The sequence below is a fragment of the Homo sapiens genome, chromosome 1 (genome assembly GCF_000001405.40).
Source record: "Homo sapiens chromosome 1, GRCh38.p14 Primary Assembly".
NCBI classification, from domain to species: Eukaryota; Metazoa; Chordata; class Mammalia; order Primates; family Hominidae; genus Homo; species Homo sapiens.
The window spans coordinates 14,368,095-14,388,000 of NC_000001.11; the positions used below are offsets into that span (position 1 = coordinate 14,368,095).

General features: G+C 42.4%; 1 protein-coding gene and 1 long non-coding RNA gene across 7 annotated transcripts in view, besides 2 other annotated features; one reads left to right on the forward strand and one right to left on the reverse strand.

Annotated features, from left to right (window-relative positions):
* The window catches only part of KAZN (kazrin, periplakin interacting protein), a 1,225,220-nt gene that overhangs the window by 475,271 nt on the left and 730,043 nt on the right, over window positions 1–19,906 (forward strand). The window lies entirely within an intron of this gene.
* KAZN-AS1 (KAZN antisense RNA 1) overlaps window positions 1–19,906 on the reverse strand; it is a 71,019-nt gene that overhangs the window by 19,140 nt on the left and 31,973 nt on the right. The window lies entirely within an intron of this gene.
* Window positions 1,951–2,629: an enhancer, noted in NCBI's record as "H3K27ac hESC enhancer chr1:14696541-14697219 (GRCh37/hg19 assembly coordinates)". NCBI's record gives its function as "activates a minimal SCP1, AML or CMV promoter by ChIP-STARR-seq in primed H9 embryonic stem cells {active_cell/tissue: H9 hESC(primed)}" and the evidence as "EXISTENCE:reporter gene assay evidence [ECO:0000049][PMID:30033119]".
* Window positions 4,795–5,660: an enhancer, noted in NCBI's record as "NANOG-H3K4me1 hESC enhancer chr1:14699385-14700250 (GRCh37/hg19 assembly coordinates)". NCBI's record gives its function as "activates a minimal SCP1, AML or CMV promoter by ChIP-STARR-seq in naive H9 embryonic stem cells {active_cell/tissue: H9 hESC(naive)}" and the evidence as "EXISTENCE:reporter gene assay evidence [ECO:0000049][PMID:30033119]".

Here is a 19,906-nt window from a genome sequence, read left to right on the forward strand (position 1 = left end):
GATTTTTCTATCTGTACGTGCAGATACAACACATAACATTATCTAGGGGCATTCAATGTGTTTGTTGACTGCTATGAGGGTATACGGTGCAAGGAAAGAAAACAGGAGCAGGGACAAGCTTGGCTTCTCAACCACCATGTGGCATCTCTGTGTGGCTCTGTAAAGCAGTGTTGTCTTTGGAAGGCAGCAGTGACCCCAGTGTTTACAGACGGGATGCATCCCTGAGAGCCGGATTTTAGCTTTGTGCATCACTCAGATGCAAGCAGCTGTTTACCTAGAAGTGCATTTTCACTTCGTGTTTGTTGTCAGAGTGTTTATGAATGATCCATCCATTAGGCACTCCCATGATGTGGTCATCAACAAAGCTTCTAGGTCTCTGACCATTTTGCCAACCGTACAATCAGCTTTCACAATTTACACATAACTGAAGCCTGCTAACAACCCATGGGACCTAGAGAAACAGCTTTCTTGATAGCTCAGATGCAGAATGTGGGGATCTGGGTAATTTACATAGATGGGTGTCACCTGTGATGCCTCCTCCCTCCTAAGCCTCTGGCTCAATCCTACCTCAGGCTGTTGGCTCCTTGGAGTTCTTGGCCTGGACTACGACCATGCACCCAAACTGAAGAAAGAGAAGGCTTCGCTTCAACTTTCAACAATCGATTTTTATAGTGTCTAAAGCAACTCACTCAATTTACAGCCCTTTACTTGTTAAACAATCCATCATAAAAGAGGATTAAGGGATGGCCAGGTAGAGAGGTACTGGCTTTTTTTTTCTCCAAGTACATTAACGGTGCCCGTGTTAGGTAGTTCTCTCCAAGTATATTAATAGTACCTGTGTCAGGCAGGACCATTTCTGGTCCTGATCTTATCCGGGTCACCTTTCTTTGGTCCACATTTCAAACAGTGGCTAATAGGGAGCGCTGGGCTTCCCGGGAGTTGAATAAATAGTATTGACTTTCATTAGCTCACTAGCAACTGCTAGAGATGGAAGGTGTCTTACACCAAGATGTGTTTCTGCAGCGTAGCCTCAGGAAAGAATCAGATGGAGACACATTTCTAAATGCAAAATAAGAGATCCTGAATCAGAACATTTCCTCTCAGGAGAAATGTTCTCGATTTTGTGTGTGTGTGTGAGAGCAAAGCAGCCACTGCTGTCTGGGTGGCAGAAATGTCAAAAATGTATCGTTCGCTCTTCAGTTTCCTCGCTCAATGCCAGGTCATTAACTTTAACACTATCCAAGTGCTTGCACGACTGTATTTACCTTAAAGGATGTGCATGAGCCTATTGTTTAAAATGCAGCCTCCACGAGAAATCTGTGGAGAAATCTGTGGAGCTGAAGCTAGTCCGCTTCAAAGAAGGAGCCTTGAAATGTGCTAGCCAAGATTTGTGAAGCGGCTTCTCCATCTGGAGAATGGTAAAAGGGAAGAGGGGCATTTAGAAGGAAGAAAAAATGGGGAAAGGGCAGACTGGACGGGACCTTGTCTCCTGCAAGGCCATGATGGGTTGCGAATGATGAATTGCCCTTTAAGGGCAGCCTTGTTTAACAAAGACACAGCACATCTCTCGAGGAAGGTATTTAGCAAAGAGGAAAGCTGAGCAAGGATCCAAAGGAAATAAACCTGACCACAGCCCTTGTGCCAGTTATGCAAAGTAAGCCCAACGTCCCCATGCACCTGTAGGGGAATCTGGAACTGCTTTCAGGTATGCATTCCACTAAAAACATGTAAATCTCAAAGAAGCAAGCCATTGTTACAGTAATTTGTGTTTTCATGATGGTGCTTAGTCTAAGTCACTATCAATGTAATAGCTAAATAAATTAATCCAGAAACAACTGGCTCTAACACTGCCTGCTGGGATTACATGCACAGTGTAAATCCTTGTACTGTGGGTGCATTCCACCTCCCCACACGTGCATGAGAGGCCTTTTGGCCCCTCTCCAGCCCACAATCAGCCATGAATCTTTGCACTAGACACCAAGAGGGTTAGACAAAAACAACCAACCCAAATGCTGGATGGAAAGGGTCAGTGGTTTCCACAGAGGGTGGATGTCTTTCCACCCCCAGGAACTAGAGAAGACCAAGGCTTGAGGGAGAGCAGGGTTGGGAGGTGGGCAGGGAGATGGGCCATCCTGGCTAGTGAAGGAGAGGAAGAAGTGGGGAGGACTGGTCCTGGGTAGGGTGGAGGGTGGGCAAGGACCTTCCTTCAGGAGGCCCAGGCACTGCACAGAACACATGAAGGCTGCCAAGCTGTTGTTCAGTGAGTGTGGCCACCCCCAGGCAGCAAGCTGCTCAGCCCCTGAGTATCATTCAGGGATCTGAGCTGAGGCTCAGTTCTCCTCTCCCTCCCTTCCCCCAAGGAACCTCTGCCATGGAAGACCAAGAGGGTGGTTTGGGGAGGGGACAGCTATCTTGTGCAGGGCATGCTAGGAAAGCCTTGCTCCTGGGGGGTATAGACACGATTACTTTTCCCTCTGAGTGGTAAACCTGTTGCCTCTTTTACATGTGTGTCCACCTACCTATTGGGCTGAAAAACCTGGGACTGCCAGGGATCTCTGAGGTTTCTTTGGAGAGTCATGAAGTTAATTTGTATCTTCTCTTTTTTATTTAAGTTTGAGACACTGTCTCACTTTGTCACCCAGACTGGAGTTGAGATCATGGCTCACTGCAGCCTGGACCTCCCGGGCTTAGGTGATCCTCTTACCTCAGCCTTCTGAGTAGTTGGGACTACGGGCATGTGCTACCACGCCTGGCTAATTTTTGTATTTTTAGTAGGGATGGAGTTTTGTTGTGTTGTCCATGCTGATTTCAAACTCCTGGGCTCAAGCAATCCACCCACCTCAGCCTCCCAAAGTGCTGAGATTAGGGGTGTGAACCACCTAGCCCAGCCCCCAGCTCGTATCTTCTATAAGACATAATGGACACTATTGAACCAGGGGTAGGTGATGAGCTCAACACTCATAAAGAAGCTTGAGCCTCTAGCATAGTTGTTCTCCAACGTTAGTGTGCATCAGAAACACCTGGAGGGCTTACTAAAACACAGCTGGGCCCCATCTCAGAGTTCCAGGTTCAGTTAGTTGGTCTGCGGTAGGGCCAAGCAAGCTACATTTGGGACAAGTCCTGGGGGATGCTGATGCTGCTGGTCAGAGGACCACACTTTGAGAGCTATTGCTTTTCATGCCTCTTATGGGGGGCAAATGAAAACTTTCCGTCTCTTGAGTTCTTCACTGTGGTATTGAGATATTAACTACATGCTTAATCCCCTCTTGCAAAAGTATTTCACACAATGGAGACCATGCTTTTAGGGATCAAGGCTAAGCCCACCCCCTGCAGCTGAGATAGTTTGAAAATGATGTGTGAATGGTAATTATGCCTGGGGAACATTTGGCAGGAGAGTAGCAAGGGCTAAATTGGAAAAGGGTGGTCCCAGGGAGCCCCAAAAGCATCTCAGTCCCTGGGAGAGGCTGAGTGTCTAAAGAAGAGAGTTTCTTGGTACCCTCTTGGAAGATGCTGATAAAAAAAAATAAAAGTTCCATAAAGCACATGACAAGAGAGTAAGAATGCACCTGTCTGGTTCTGTTCACCTCATCAGCATCAATAAATATTTATTGACATCCTGAAATGTCTAGGATGCCAAAAGCAGAACCAAACATTCTAGAGACACGGATCTTGCCCTCCAAAGAAACCACAATCTGAAGAGAAAACCAAGAAACAGGAGAATTATCTTTGAGAGGCAAGGCAGGGATGCACTCCTCATGAAAGATGTAGTTAGTTTTCACAATGGCGGTGAGCCTGAAATGCGCACATAAATTAATGCTTTTGTAAACCGAGTTAGATTTTAAATGCATGAAAGGAGCCAACTGTTTAAAGGAAACTGGCAGAGAATCTTTCTGCAAAAAGAAGAATCACTTAGTCATGTGAATAGTCGTCATCTCATTTATGGATCTTATTAGCTTCAATTTTTCATTTTGGTAGATCTGAACAGACTGAAAACAAGTTCATAACAAGTAAAAGGAATTTTTCTGTATCCTTACTTTGGGAAAAGCAAATGACGAGTTTGTATCAAAGATTGTTAACTGTTTACTGTGTATTTAAGTGGGTCAATTCAGCCAATCCCTAAGATTACATATAGCTATAGTGTGGTTGAATCATGGATAGATCAACAGCCTGAGGTCATTTAAAAAATTTAAATGTCTCTATAATTGCCAAAGAATGCTGACTTGTGTTAAGTATATTTTCTTGGACTTTGAGTCATTGGAAGTTGGTAATTGAAACATGGTAAATATGATTACTCTCAGATGGGATTTCTCAACCTTCGTGCTAGTGACAGGCATTTGGGCCAGATAATTCTCTGATGTGAGGGGCTGTCCTGTATGTTGCAGGATGTCCAGCAGCATCCCTGGCTTCTACTCATTGGATGCTAGTAACACCAACCCAGGTGCAAAAATTGAAAATGTCCCCGTGCATTAGCACATGCCCCATGCGGGAGAGGGCAGCAAAATGGCCTCATCAAAGATGATTATTTATTGCTCTAAAATAACGGGAATATTCAGTCAGCATCCCTTCTTCTCAGATGATTCTGTATTGAGTTTTCTCAAAGCAAAGCTCACTTCCTCTTGAGTCGCACCCTGTGATTCATTGTTGATTACAAGTGGCAAAGAAACTATGCATTCATTTATTCACTCACAATACATGTATTCAGTGCCTGCTCTGTGCCTAGCTGTGGTGGTGAGCAAAATGATCAAGGTTCTTGCCCTCGAGGAGATTGTAGTCTAGTGGGAATGTCAGGTGGTCAACAAATGAACAAATTAATAACTAATTATATAAAATCACGTAACAGAAACAGGGGATAGAGATAGAAACTAATACAAAAGAGCCTATGTAGACAGAGTAACCTGAGAGGGGCCCCCTGAGGAGGTGCCATTTCAGCTACAGCCTGTAGGATGAGTAGGAGGTTGCCACGTGACCAGCTGGAGGGACTATAATTCATAAAAAGAAAGCTGGAGGTAGGTAGTACTGAACAAGGACTGTAAGAGGTAGCTTTCTGGGAAGTGGATATAGTCTCATTGCTCCAGTATTTGTTAGGGTTCTCCTGAAAAACTGAATATATATATATATATATATATATATATGCACACATATAATTATAAGGAATTGGCAAAGGAGATCATGGAGACTGAGAAATCCCACAATCTGCTGTCTGCAATCTGGAGACCCAGGAAAGCTGTTCATATAAATTCCAGTCTAAGTCCAAAGGCCTGAGAACCAGGAGTCCTGATGGTGTAAGTCCCGGTCCAAGAGCAAGAGAAGACTGATGTCCCAACTCAAGTCAGGCAGAGAGACAGAATTCAACCTTCTTCTGCCTTTTTGTCAATAAATATTCAGACCCTCACTTTGGGAAGGGCAAACTGCTTAAGTGAGTCCAATCAAGTTAACTGTTTAACTTGATTCAAATGCTAATCTCTTCCAGAAACGCCCTCACAGCCCAACCCAGAAATAATGTTTAACCAGATGTCCAGGCAGCCCATGGCCCAGTCAAGTTGACACATAAAATTAACAAAGTTAACCAAAGCAAAAGTTTGTCTTCTTTTTCTAGGGAAAGGGATGCATTCCACAGAGTCCTAGGATCCTGGGAGACAGGCCTGGAGTGGTGTGTTCCTTCTCTGACCCCAAGGTGATGTGTAAGATGAAAAGATGGCTTCAGATTTCATGGGGAATCGAGGCTTATATTAAAGATGAAAGTTGTGCCTCTTCACTAAGTAAGATGTAATTTGCTAGGGATTTGGTTGTCCAGGTTGTTACTTAAACGGATCTTACATAAAGTGGAAAACAAAATCCCTCCCATTTGTGCAAAAGGTAGTACTTTTGCCAGGGAGTGTAAACTAACATAAGCCAATCTCACCATGTGCACATATTTAGTTCTTCGTGGTAGTTACTGACGTTCATGTCCATCAGTAGTTGGAGGAGGTTGATAATTAGCTACTCTCCTGCAACTTTGCTACCAGGTTATAATAAAAGCACTTCTCAGACCAAACCCTGTGCCATATGCAGACACTTATTAGTAAGCAGACACTAGGCTCTAAAACTTGATGTTTAAGATCAACAAAATCCCAGCTGCCTGTCCTTGTAGGTGTCCTGACCACACCTCACATGGACCACTCACCCCAGGCAGTTATGACAGCACTCAAGAGGCAGGAGAGAGCTAATCTCACAATGATCATCAGGCAACCCAAATCCTCCAAACTATCAGCTGAATGAACGAATGTTTGGGGGATCAAGTCTCAAGTACCATCCCTGTGGGAGAAGGGGACAGCGTCTGCAAGCTGTTCAGATCCCCTTCAGGCAAGGATGAGGAGCTTCGGGAAAATATCTTAGCCAAACCTCTCATCTTGAATACTCACCAGTGAGAACTCACTTATTATATCCATTATGCTAAATAACGAGCCCTTTTTTTTCACCAATGAAAACCCATTTGGAACTTTCTTTGAGCTAATTAGCAAAGTCTCTAGTGATGATCAAAGTTCAGTGGTAAAGAAAGATGAAGACGCCCTTCTGGGAACAGCCTCAGGAGTGTGGCCTTTCTGATTAAATGCTGGAGTCCACTCTCAGAATGTAGATTCCTGGTCAGGACCGCGGACTGCCCCTCGAGTGTAGTTTAAGCCAATTGACATATACAAATCATCACGCTCCCTGTACTGCAGGATTTTAAAGTAAATTGCATGCATCAAAACAGGCAGACATAGCCTGAATCTGTCCTGGAAATGAGTATGGGAAAAGGAGGTCAGTAAATTTAACAATCTGATTAACCAAGAGCGATCACACAAGTCCTATTGAGCTCGTCCATTTTCAAAGAATTAAAGTCCAATTAACTATACTTTACCCAAACTCTAGAGCACCTCAGCCTTTTGGGGGCAGAGGCCAACACAGACTTTCAGCTTGGCTTGGGAATCTGTTGCAGCTACAGCTCCAGGTTAACAGCTTCCAGCCTTTTCCAAAAAGATGACTCCTAATTTAATGACCTCTATTGAAGGTCAGTTGTATTTTAGCGTCTATTAACTGAGAAAATAATAATGAAAAAATTGTTATGAATTCAGCACACTGTCTTTTATTAGTCACAATAGCATCATACACACTTCAGAAAGAGTGCAGGAGGTTAGATTCAAAAATAAGGGACCATCACAGAAAGCCAAACCACTAGGAAGGCCCCAGGTATGCTAGACACCTAGGCACTGTCTCTCCATAAGTCAGTCCAACACAGACAGCCTTCTCCCAGCACTAGAGCAGATGGCTTGCTTCTCACCCAAGCCCGAGATAAAATAGGTGTCTTGTATTTAGAGCCATACCGTAGGAATACTGTGTATCTTCAACACTGGGATCACGTGTTTCCCACAGGCAAGATGCTCATACTAAGAGGCCCTGAAAACCAAGCCCACTAAGATTAAACCAATCTGCATTTTTCATCTCATGCTCAGCATAAAGTGTAAGGTCACTGCATGAAATGACACGTGGAGGCTGGGCACGGTGGCTCACACCTGTAATCCCAGCACTTTGGGAGGCCGAGGTGGGCGGATCACGAGGTCAGGAGATCGAGACCATCCTGGCTAACATGGTGAAACCCCATCTCTACTAAAAAAATACAAAAAATTAGCCGGGTGTGGTGGCGGGTGCCTGTAGTCCCAGCTACTCGGGAGGCTGAGGCAGGAGAATGGCATGAACCCGGGAGGCGGAGCTTGCAGTGAGCGGAGATCACGCCACTGCACTCCGGCCTGGGCGACAGAACAAGACTCCATCTCAAAAACAAAAAAAAAAAAAAGAAATTACATGTGGAGAGGAGTACTCATATGTGTACAATACCCTCAACACAAAGTCATTGGAGTATGTATGGAGCCAAGGCCCCCTTGCAAATACTCCAGGGGACCCTGGCCTCGCATGACTTTGGGTCATTAGTTAACACACAGATAAGTCTGATGCAAGCAACAGAAAAGAGGAGTGTTCATGGACCCAGCACCTGAACACAGTGAGGGAGAATACCAACTGATTTCCCATTTCCTGTGGGAATGTTACCATCTCAATCATCATCGAAAGTATGCATTTAGCCCCCAAATGTGCATGGCCCTGTACATGCATCATACCCAGAAAGAATACAGTACTTTCATCAGTGATATGGCTTGAATATGTCCCCCAAAGTTTATGTGTTGGAAGCTAATCCCCAAAGCAACAGAGTTGAAAGATGGGACCATTAGGAGGTAACTAGGAGGTAACTAGGTTATAAGGGGTCTTCCCTCATAAATGGATTAATGGCCTTATCTCGGGAGTAGATTAGTTATTGTGGGAGTGGGTTCCTGATAAAAAGGATGAGTTCAGCCTTTCCTTCTCAATCTCACTCTCTCTTGCTCTTCTACCATGAAATGACATAGCACAAAGGCCTTCACCAGATGCCAGCACTATGCTCTTCAACTTCCCGGGCTCCAGAACCATGAGCCAAATAAATATCTATTATAAATTACTCAGTTTGTGGTATTATCTTGTAACAATAAAAAATGGACTAAAATGATGAGAAATAAATTCTAAAGCAGTATATATCAGCATCACTCAGAGCCATGTCCTAACTACATAACCTTGGGCAAATCATATGACCTCTGTGTGCAGTGTGTTATGGTTAAATGGGATAACCCAGATGAAACATATAGTAAGTGTTCAATAAAAGAAGACAAGCAGATTAGTCATAGTCTGGGTATAAAATAATTGCATCAAGGCAGCAACAACAAACTAAAAATTATTCTGTAAAATGAAATTGTTTTTGCTATGTATGTTTTTGTTTGCAAAGCAAATACTTCTATAATGTATTAGTTGCTGGTGCTGAGTACCAAATAGGATTTGTTTAATATCAAGATCTTTCCTATCAGCCAGACATTTGTATTTTTTATGATGGAGAAGAAATGTCTTCCTGCATAATAACTAAAGGAAGGTAGCTACTTAGCCATTCTCCCATTCTTGTTATTTCCAAGTGAAAGCTAGTGGGAAACAGAGTACTTTGTTGAAGTGCTTAAATGGAAGCCATTCTAAGTTGGCTAGCTGCTCAGTATAATATAGACATTACAAAATAACATGAGGGCAGGAATCAACCCACCCTTAAGGTCTTTTTAACTGGTAATTGGTTTCCTATCCATCAATCGACCATTCCTTAAGCTTCTGTCTGTTCCAGAGATGACAAATGTGAAGGTGCCTTGTAGAAATTGGAGGAGGCAGGTCCAAGGGGCCACCACATCAGTGGAAAGACGGTGCATTATGAGAGCGATTGGTCTCATTCGCCTTTAGCTCAAAGAAAATGTTCTCCATGGCAACAATGACAGTAGAAAACGTAAGAAATAGCAGTTCCAACAAGCAGAGAAACAGTCTCTAGCCTTTTCAATTCTCAACAATCTCGACTCCTCATACTCTATTTTTCACAATGGGCCAGGTCGCTGGCAGTAGTTAGAGCTGCTGTTGCAGCTGACATAACACTGTCTACTGGTGAGTCATTGGCAAGCTTTACTGGGCAACAAAACTAAGGTTTTCAAAATTTAATGTCTGTTTAGGGCATGCAACTGACTTTTCTAGTATGGAAAGCCTGCTGCTAACTCCATGGCCACAGGTGAGGTCCCAGGCATATAGTGATGACCTACCTTGTTTGGTTCAAGTCAGCATTTCTCAACTTCGGCACTATTCATTCTGCCAGCTCATTCTTTGTGCTCGGAGGCTGTCTACAGGTTTTAGCAACATCCCTGATCTCTACCCACTTGATGCCAGTAACATCGTCTCTTCCCAAATGGAAAAACTGAGAATGTCTCCAGACATTATCAAATGTCCCCTGGAGTACAAAATTACCCCCAGCTGACAACCACTGGCTTAAATGAAGATCCTAGTAGGCCAACCATTGCTGGAGCCAGAATTTTTAAATGTATTTTTTTTCATGTATTTGTTTATTAATTTAACAAATGTTTAGTAAGACCTTACTCAGTGCTAGGTGCTCTTCTAACCATTGGGTATTCACCAGTGAACTAGGTCCCATATGACACAACATGTAAGCAAACACATAAGACGTTTATGGAATTTCAGCAAGACCTGATAGATTTTGGAAAATATGCTTATCAGTAATGGGAGTAAACTTCAATTATTAATTCTTACTATCAAAGTTAATTTGAAGCCACCTACAATAAAAGGCTTATCCTTTAAAAGAAAAGTAAACGGGAGGAGGAGCAGAGCAAGCTGGCTGAATAGAAGTCTCCACCAATCATCCCCCAATTTAACAACTATCTGCACGAAGAAACAACCTTCATGAGAACCAAAAATCAGGTGAATACTCCCAGTTCCTGGTTTTAACTTTATATAGCTGAAAGGAGCAGTGAAGACAGTAGGAAAGAGTCTTAAACTGTCGACATTACCCCCTTTCCCATCTCCTGGTAGTGACCGCATGGCATGAAGAGAGAATCTGAGTCCTTATGAGAGGGTGAGTGCAGCAATTATGAGACATTGCATTGAACTCAGTGCTGCCCCGTCACAGCAGAATGCAAAACCAAGCTGAACTCAGCAGATGCCTGCCCGCAGAGGGAATATTTAAACCAGCCCTAGCCAGAGGGGGATATTCCATCCAGGCAGTAGGAACTTGAGTTCTGGCAAGCCTTTCCACTGAAGACTAAAATGCTCTGAAACTCTAAATAAACTTGAAAGGCAGTCTAGGCCACAAAGATTGAAACTCCTAGGTAAGTCCTTGTGCTGAACTGGTCTCAGAACCAATGGACTTGGGGAGCATGTGACATACTAAGACAACAGCTGGGACAGCTAAGGGAGTGCATGCACTGATCCCCCGCCAAACCGAGGCTGCACAGCTTGCAGCTCCAAAAGAGATTCCTTCCTTCTGCTTGAGGAGAGAAGATGGAAGACTAAAGAAGACATTGACCTGCATCTAGAATGCCAGCTCAGCCACAATACAGCACCAGTTAGTCATGAGGCCCCATTTCCAGGCCTGAGCTCCCAGACAACATTTCTAGACACATGCTGGGCCAGAAGCAGACCAACTGGCCTGAAAGGAAGGATGCAGTCCTCGTAGGACCCATCACCTGCTGACTAAAGAGTCCTTGGGCCCTGAACAACTGGCAGAAATAACCAAGTAGTACACCATGGTCCTTGGGTGAGACTCTGAGGCTTGCTGGCTTCAGGTGAGACTCAGCACATTCTCAGCTACTATGGCTACAGGGAGAGACTCCTTCCGATTGAGAAAAGTAGGGGGAAAAGTAAACAGGACTTTGTTTTTCACCTTAGGTACCTGCTCAGCCACAGAGAAGTAAAGCACCAAGCAGGCTTTCAGGGTCCCTGATTTCAGGCCTTGGCTCTTAGACAACGTCTATGCACCTTCCCTGGGGCAGAGGAGAGACCACTGTCCTGAAGGGTGAGTCCTAGGCCTGCCAACATTCACCATAAGCTGACTGAAGAGCCATTGGACCTTAAGGGTATATTGATGGTGGCCTGGCAATACTCCCCATAGGCCTGTGGGGGTGGTGGCCATGGGATGAGGTTCCTCTGCCTGTGGAAAGGGGAGGAAAGAATGGGAAGGACTGTGTCTCATGGTTTGAGTGCCAGCTCAGCCACAGTACAATAGAACACCAGGTAGATTTCTAAGATTTTGACTCTAATCCCTGAGTCCTGGACAGCATCTCTAGACTGACCTAGTGCCTGGGGGAGCTTGCCACCTTGGCTGGCTTCACCACTTGCTGGATTGTGGAGCCCCAGGGCCTTGAGCAAACACAGGCAGTAGCCAAGCAGTGGTTATAGTGGGCCTTAGGCGAGACCCAGTGTTATGCTGGCTTCAGGTCTAACCCAGCACAGTCCCGGTGGTGGTGGGCACAGAGGTGTTTATATCACCCCACCTCCAGCTCCAGACAGCTCAGAACAGAGAGACTCCATTTGTTTGAGAGAACATAATGGAAAAGAACAAGAGTCTGCCTGGTAATCCAGAGAATTCCTGTGAATCTTATCCAAGACTACCAAGGCAGTACCTCTGTGAGGCTGCAAGAAGCACATCACTATTGGGCTTGGGGTGCCCCCTAATGCAGATATGACTTAGACCACAACACTCAAGTCATTTTGAAAACCTGGAAAGCCTTTCCAAGAAGGATGGGTACAAACAAGCCCAGATAGAGAAGACTACAATAAATACCTAACTCTTCAATACCCAGACAAAAACAAACATAAGCATCCAGACCATCCAAGAAAACATGAACTCAACAAATGAACTAAATAAGACACCAGGAACCTATTTGAAGAAACAGAGATATGTGACCTTTCCAAGAATTCAAAAGTGCTGTGTTGAAGAAACTTAAAGAAATTCAAGATAACACAAAGAAGAAAATCAGAATTCTATCAGATAAATTTAACAAAGAGGTTGAAATAATTGAAAAGAACCAAGCAGAAATTCTAGAGTTGGAAAACGCAATTAACATACTAAAAAATACATCAGAGTTTTTTAATAGCAGAATTGATCAAGCAGCAGAAATAAGTAATGAGGCTGAAGACAGACCATTTGAAAATACACAGTCAGAGGAAACAAAAAGAAAAAGAATAAAAAAGAATGAAGCACACCTATGAGATCTAGAAAAATAGCCCCAAAAGGGCAAATCTAAAATTTATTAACCCTAAAGAGGAGATAGAGAAAGAGACAGGGGTAGAAAGTTTAGTAAAAGGGATAATAACACAAAACATCCCAAACCTAGAGAAAGATACCAATATCCAAATACAAGAAAGTTATAGAATACCAAGCAGTTTAACCCAAAGAAGACTACATCAAGGCATTTAATAATCAAACTTTCAAACATCAAGGATAAACAAAGGATCCTAAAAGTAGTGAGAGAAAATAAATGACATACATCTGGCAACATAGTCCTTCCCATTCTTCCCTCCCCTTCTGAGGCAGAGGAGTCTCATCCCATGGCCATCATCCCACAGAGCTATGGAGAGTATTGCCAAGCCACCACTGGAGCACCCAGGTATGTATGTGTGTATATATAGACAAAAACTGTAAGAGTCAAAGAAGCTGACTATATAATGACAAAGGGATTGATACATCAGAAAGGTATAACAATTTTACATATATGTGCACCCAACACTGGAGCACTCAGATATATAAAGCAAATATTATTAGAGCTAAAGAGAGAGATGCAACCTACAAGGACTGAACCATGAGCCATTCTAAACTCATCCTATGATGCCAGTATTACCCTGCTACCAAAACCGGACAATCAAAAAAAAAAAATTGTAGGCCAATATCACTGATGAATACTGACACAAAAATATTGAACAAAACACTAGAAAACCGACTTCAACAACACATTAAAAAGACTGTTCATTATGACCAAGTGGGATTTATCCTCAGGATGCAAGAATGGTTCAACACATGCAAATCAATTAATCTGATACATCATATCAATGGACTAAAGGACAAAAACCATATGATCATTTCAATTGATGCTGAAAAAGTAGCCGATAAATTCAACAGCCATTCATGATAAAAACCCTCAAAAAACTAGGTATAGAAGGAACATAACACAACATAATAAAAGCCATATATAAAAGACCAATAGTTAATATCATGCTGAATGGGAAAAAACGGAAAGCCTTTTCTCTAAGATCAGGAACACAACAAGGATGCCCACTGTCACCACTGTTATTCAAAATAGTACTGGAAGTTATAGTTAGAGCAACCAGAAGACAAGAGAATGAAATAAAGAGCATCCAAATTGGAAAGGAAGAAGTCAAATATCCTTGTTTGAAGATGATACAATCTTATATTTGGAAAAAACATAAGACTCCACCAAAAAACTATTAGAACTGATCAACATATTTAGTAAAGTTGCAGGATACAAAATCAAGATACAAAAATCAGTAGCACTTATATATCCCAACTGTGAACAATCTGAAAACGAAATCAAGAAAGTAATCCCACTGACAATAGCTACAAATAAAATACCTAGGAATTAACTAAAGGGAAAAATCTCTACAATGAAAACTATAAAATATTGATGCAAGAAATTGAAGAAGACACCAAAAAAAAGATATTCCATTTTCAAGGATTGGAACAATCAATATTGCTTAAATGTCCATACTACCCAATGCAATCTACAGATTTAATGCAGTCCCTATCAAAATAACAATATCAAAATACCATTCTTCACAGAAATAGAAGAAACAATTCTTTTTTTTATTATACTTTTAAGTTTTAGGGTACATGTGCACAATGTGCAGGTTACTTACATATGTATACATGTACCATGCTGGTGCGCTGCACCCACTAACTCGTCATCTAGCATTAGGTATATCTCCCAATGCTATCCCTCCCCCCTCCCCCCACCCCACAACAGGCCCCAGAGTGTGATGTTCCCCTTCCTGTGTCCATGTGTTCTCATTGTTCAATTCCCACCTATGAGTGAGAATATGCGGTGTTTGGTTTTTTGTTCTCGCGATAGTTTACTGAGAATGATGATTTCCAATTTCATCCATGTCCCTACAAAGGACATGAACTGATCATTTTTTATGGCTGCATAGTATTCCATGGTGTATATGTGCCACATTTTCTTAATCCAGTCTATCGTTGTTGGACATTTGGGTTGGTTCCAAGTCTTTGCTATTGTGAATAATGCCGCAATAAACATACGTGTGCATGTGTCTTTATAGCAGCATGATTTATAGTCCTTTGGGTATATACCCAGTAATGGGATGGCTGGGTCAAATGGTGTTTCTAGTTCTAGATCCCTGAGAAATCGCCACACTGACTTCCACAATGGTTGAACTAGTTTACAGTCCCACCAACGGTGTAAAAGTGTTCCTATTTCTCCACATCCTCTCCAGCACCTGTTGTTTCCTGACTTTTTAATGATTGCCATTCTAACTGGTGTGAGATGGTATCTCGTTGTGGTTTTGATTTGCATTTCTCTGATGGCCAGTGATGGTGAGCATTGTTTCATGTGTTTTTTGGCTGCATAAATGTCTTCTTTTGAGAAGTGTCTGTTCATATCCTTCATCCACTTTTTGATGGGGTTGTTTTTTTCCTGTAAATTTGTTTGAGTTCATTGTAGATTCTGGATATTAGCCCTTTGTCAGATGAGTAGGTTGTGAAAATTTTCTCCCATTTTGTAGGTTGCCTGTTCACTCTGATGGTAGTTTCTTTTGCTGTGCAGAAGCTCTTTAGTTTAATTAGATCCCATTTGTCAATTTTGTCTTTTGTTGCCATTGCTTTTGGTGTTTTAGATATGAAGTCCTTGCCCATGCCTACATCCTGAATGGTAAAGCCTAGGTTTTCTTCTAGGGTTTTTATGGTTTTAGGTCTAACATTTAAGTCTTTAATCCATCTTGAATTGATTTTTGTATAAGGTGTAAGGAAGGGATCCAGTTTCAGCTTTCTACATATGGCTAGCCAGTTTTCCCAGCACCATTTATTAAATAGGGAATCCTTTCCCCATTGCTTGTTTTTCTCAGGTTTGTCAAAGATCAGATAGTTGTAGATATGCGGCATTATTTCTGAGGGCTCTGTTCTGTTCCATTGATCTCTCTCTCTGTTTTGGTACCAGTACCATGCTGTTTTGGTTACTGTAGCCTTGTAGTATAGTTTGAAGTCAGGTACTGTGATGCCTCCGCCTTTGTTCTTTTGGCTTAGGATTGACTTGGCTATATGGGCTCTTTTTTGATTCCATATGAACTTTAAAGTAGTTTTTCCAATTCTGTGAAGAAAGTCATTGGTAGCTTGATGGGGATGGCATTGAATCTGTAAATTACCTTGGGCAGTATGGCCATTTTCACAATATTGATTCTTCCTACCCATGAGCATGGAATGTTCTTCCATTTGTTTGTATCCTCTTTTATTTCCTTCAGCAGTGGTTTGTAGCTCTGCTTGAAGAGGTCCTTCACATCCCTTGTAAGTTGGATTCCTAGGTATTTTATTCTCTTTGAAGCAATTGTGAATGGGAGTTCACTCATGATTTGGCTCTCTGTTTGTCTGTTATTGGTGTATAAGAATGCTTGTGATTTTTGTACATTGATTTTGTATCCTGAGACTTTGCTGAAGTTGCTTATCAGCTTAAGGAGATTTTGGGCTGAGACAATGGGGTTTTCTAGATATACAATCATGTCATCTGCAAACAGGGATAATTTGACTTCCTCTTTTCCTAATTGAATACCCTTTATTTCCTTCTCCTGCCTAATTGCCCTGGCCAGAACTTCCAACACTATGTTGAATAGGAGTGGTGAGAGGGGGCATTCCTGTCTTGTGCCAGTTTTCAAAGGGAATGCTTCCAGTTTTTGCCCATTCAGTATGATATTGGCTGTGGGTTTGTCATAGATAGCTCTTACTATTTTGAAATACGTCCCATCAATACCTAATTTATTGAGAGTTTTTAGCATGAAAGGTTGTTGAATTTTGTCAAGGGCCTTTTCTGCCTCTATTGAGATAATCATGTGGTTTTTGTCTTTGGTTCTGTTTATATGCTGGATTACATTTATTGATTTAGGTATATTGAACCAGCCTTGCATCCCAGGGATGAAGCCCACTTGATCATGGTGGATAAGCTTTTTGATGTGCTGCTGGATTCGGTTTGCCAGTATTTTATTGAGGATTTTTGCATCAATGTTCATCGCGGATATTGGTCTAAAATTCTCTTTTTTGGTTGTGTCTCTGCCCGGCTTTGGTATCAGGATGATGCTGGCCTCATAAAATGAGTTAGGGAGGAATCCCTCTTTTTCTATTGATTGGAATAGTTTCAGAAGGAATGGTACCAGTTCCTCCTTGTACCTCTGGTAGAATTCGGCTGTGAATCCATCTGGTCCTGGACTCTTTTTGGTTGGTAAGCTATTGATTATTGCCACAATTTCAGATCCTGTTATTGGTCTATTCAGAGATTCAACTTCTTCCTGGTTTAGTCTTGGGAGAGTGTATGTGTCGAGGAATTTATCCATTTCTTCTAGATTTTCTAGTTTATTTGCGTAGAGGTGTTTGTAGTATTCTCTGATGGTAGTTTGTATTTCTGTGGGATCAGTGGTGATAACCCCTTTATCATTTTTTATTTCGTCTATTTGGTTCTTCTTTTTTTCTTTATTAGTCTTGCTAGCGGTCTATTAATTTTGTTGATCCTTTCAAAAAACCAGCTCCTGGATTCATTAATTTTTTGAAAGATTTTTTGTGTCTCTATTTCCTTCAGTTCTGCTCTGATTTTAGTTATTTCTTGCCTTCTGCTAGCTTTTGAATATGTTTGCTCTTGCTTTTCTAGTTCTTTTAATTGTGATGGTAGGGTGTCAATTTTGGATCTTTCCTGCTTTCTCTTGTGGGCATTTAGTGCTATAAATTTCCCTCCACACACTGCTTTGAATGTGTCCCAGAGACTCTGGTATGTTGTGTCTTTGTTCTCGTTGGTTTCAAAGAACATCTTTATTTCTGCCTTCATTTCATTATGTACTCAGTAGTCATTCAGGAGCAGGTTGTTTGGTTTCCATGTAGTTGAGCGGTTTTGAGTGAGATTCTTAATCCTGAGTTCTGGTTTGATTGCACTGTGGTCTGAGAGATAGTTTGTTATAATTTCTGTTCTTTTACATTTGCTGAGGAGAGCTTTACTTCCAACTATGTGGTCAATTTTGGAATAGGTGTGGTGTGGTGCTGAAAAAAATGTATATTCTGTTGATTTGGGGTGGAGAGTTCTGTAGATGTCTATTAGGTCCGCTTGGTGCAGAGCTGAGTTCAATTCCTGGGTATCCTTGTTGACTTTCTGTCTCGTTGATCTGTCTGATGTTGACAGTGGGGTGTTAAAATCTCCCATTATTAATGTGTGGGAGTCTAAGTCTCTTTGTAGGTCACTCAGGACTTGCTTTATGAATCTGGGTGCTCCTGTATTGGGTACATATATTTTTAGGATAGTTAGCTCTTCTTGTTGAATTGATCCCTTTACCATGATGTAATGGCCTTCTTTGTCTCTTTTGATCTTTGTTGGTTTAAAGTCTGTTTTATCAGAGACTAGGATTGCAACCCCTGCCTTTTTTTGTTTTCCATTTGCTTGGTAGATCTTCCTCCATCCTTTTATTTTGAGCCTATGTGTGTCTCTGCACATGAGATGGGTTTCCTGAATACAGCACACTGATGGGTCTTGACTCTTTATCCAATTTGCCAGTCTGTGTCTTTTAATTGGAGCATTTAGTCCATTTACATTTAAAGTTAATATTGTTATGTGTGAATTTGATCCTGTCATGATGATGTTAGCTGGTTATTTTGCTCGTTAGTTGATGCAGTTTCTTCCTAGTCTCAATGGTCTTTACATTTTGGCATGATTTTGCAGTGGCTGGTACCAGTTGTTCCTTTCCATGTTTAGCACTTCCTTCAGGAGCTCTTTTAGGGCAGGCCTGGTGGTGACAAAATCTCTCAGCATTTGCTTGTCTGTAAAGTAGTTTATTTCTCCTTCACTTATGAAGCTTAGTTTGGCTGGATATGAAATTCGGGGTGGAAAATTCTTTTCTTTAAGAATGTTGAATATTGGCCCCCACTCTCTTCTGGTTTGTAGAGTTTCTGCCGAGATATCCGCTGTTAGTCTGATGGGCTTCCCTTTGAGGGTAACATGACCTTTCTCTCTGGCTGCCCTTAACATTTTTTCCTTCATTTCAACTTCGGTGAATCTGACAATTATGTGTCTTGGAGTTGCTCTTCTCAAGGAGTATCTTTGTGGCGTTCTCTGTATTTCCTGAATCTGAATGTTGGCCTGCCTTGCTGGATTGGGGAAGTTCCCCTGGATAATATCCTGCAGAGTGTTTTCCAACTTGGTTCCATTCTCCCCGTCACTTTCAGGTACACCAGTCAGACATAGATTTGGTCTTTTCACATCGTCCCATATTTCTTGGGAGGCTTTGCTCGTTTCTTTTTATTTTTTTCTCTAAACTTCCCTTCTCGCTTCATTTCATTCATTTCATCTTCCATCGCTGATACCCTTTCTTCCAGTTGATCGCATCAGCTCCTGAGGCTTCTGCATTCTTTATGTAGTTCTCAAGCCTTGGTTTTCAGCTCCATCAGCTCCTTTAAGCACTTCTCTGTATTGGTTATTCTAGTTATACATTCTTCTAAATTTTTTTCAAAGTTTTCAACTTCTTTGCCCTTGGTTTGAATGTCCTCCCGTAGGTCAGAGTAATTTGATCATCTGAAGCCTTCTTCTCTCAGCTCGTCAAAGTCATTCTCCGTCCAGCTTTGTTCTGTTGCTGGTGAGGAACTGCGTTCCTTTGGAGGAGGAGAGGTGCTCTGCCTTTTAGAGTTTCCAGTTTTTCTGCTCTGTTTTTTCCCAATCTTTGTGGTTTTATCTACTTTTGGTCTTTGATGATGGTGATGTACAGATGGGTTTTTGGTGTGGATGTCCTTTCTGTTTGTTAGTTTTCCTTCTAACAGACAGGACCCTCAGCTGCAGGTCTGTTGGAGTACCCGGCCATGTGAGATGTCAGTCTGCCCCTGCTTGGGGGGTGCCTCCCAGTTAGGCTGCTCGGGGTTCAGGGGTCAGGGACCCACTTGAGGAGGCAGTCTGCCCGTTCTCAGATCTCCAGCTGCGTGCTGGGAGAACCACTGCTCTCTTCAAAGCTGTCAGACAGGGACATTTAAGTCTGCAGAGATTACTGCTGTCTTTTTGTTTGTCTGTGCCCTGCCCCCAGAGGTGGAGCCTACAGAGGCAGGCAGGCCTCCTTGAGCTGTGGTGGGCTCCACCCAGTTCGAGCTTCCCGGCTGCTTTGTTTACCTAAGCAAGCCTGGGCAATGGCGGGCGCCCCTCTCCCAGCCTCACTGCCGCTTTGCTGTTTGATCTCAGACTGCTGTGCTAGCAATCAGCGAGACTCCGTGGGCGTAGGACCCTCCGATCCAGGTGCG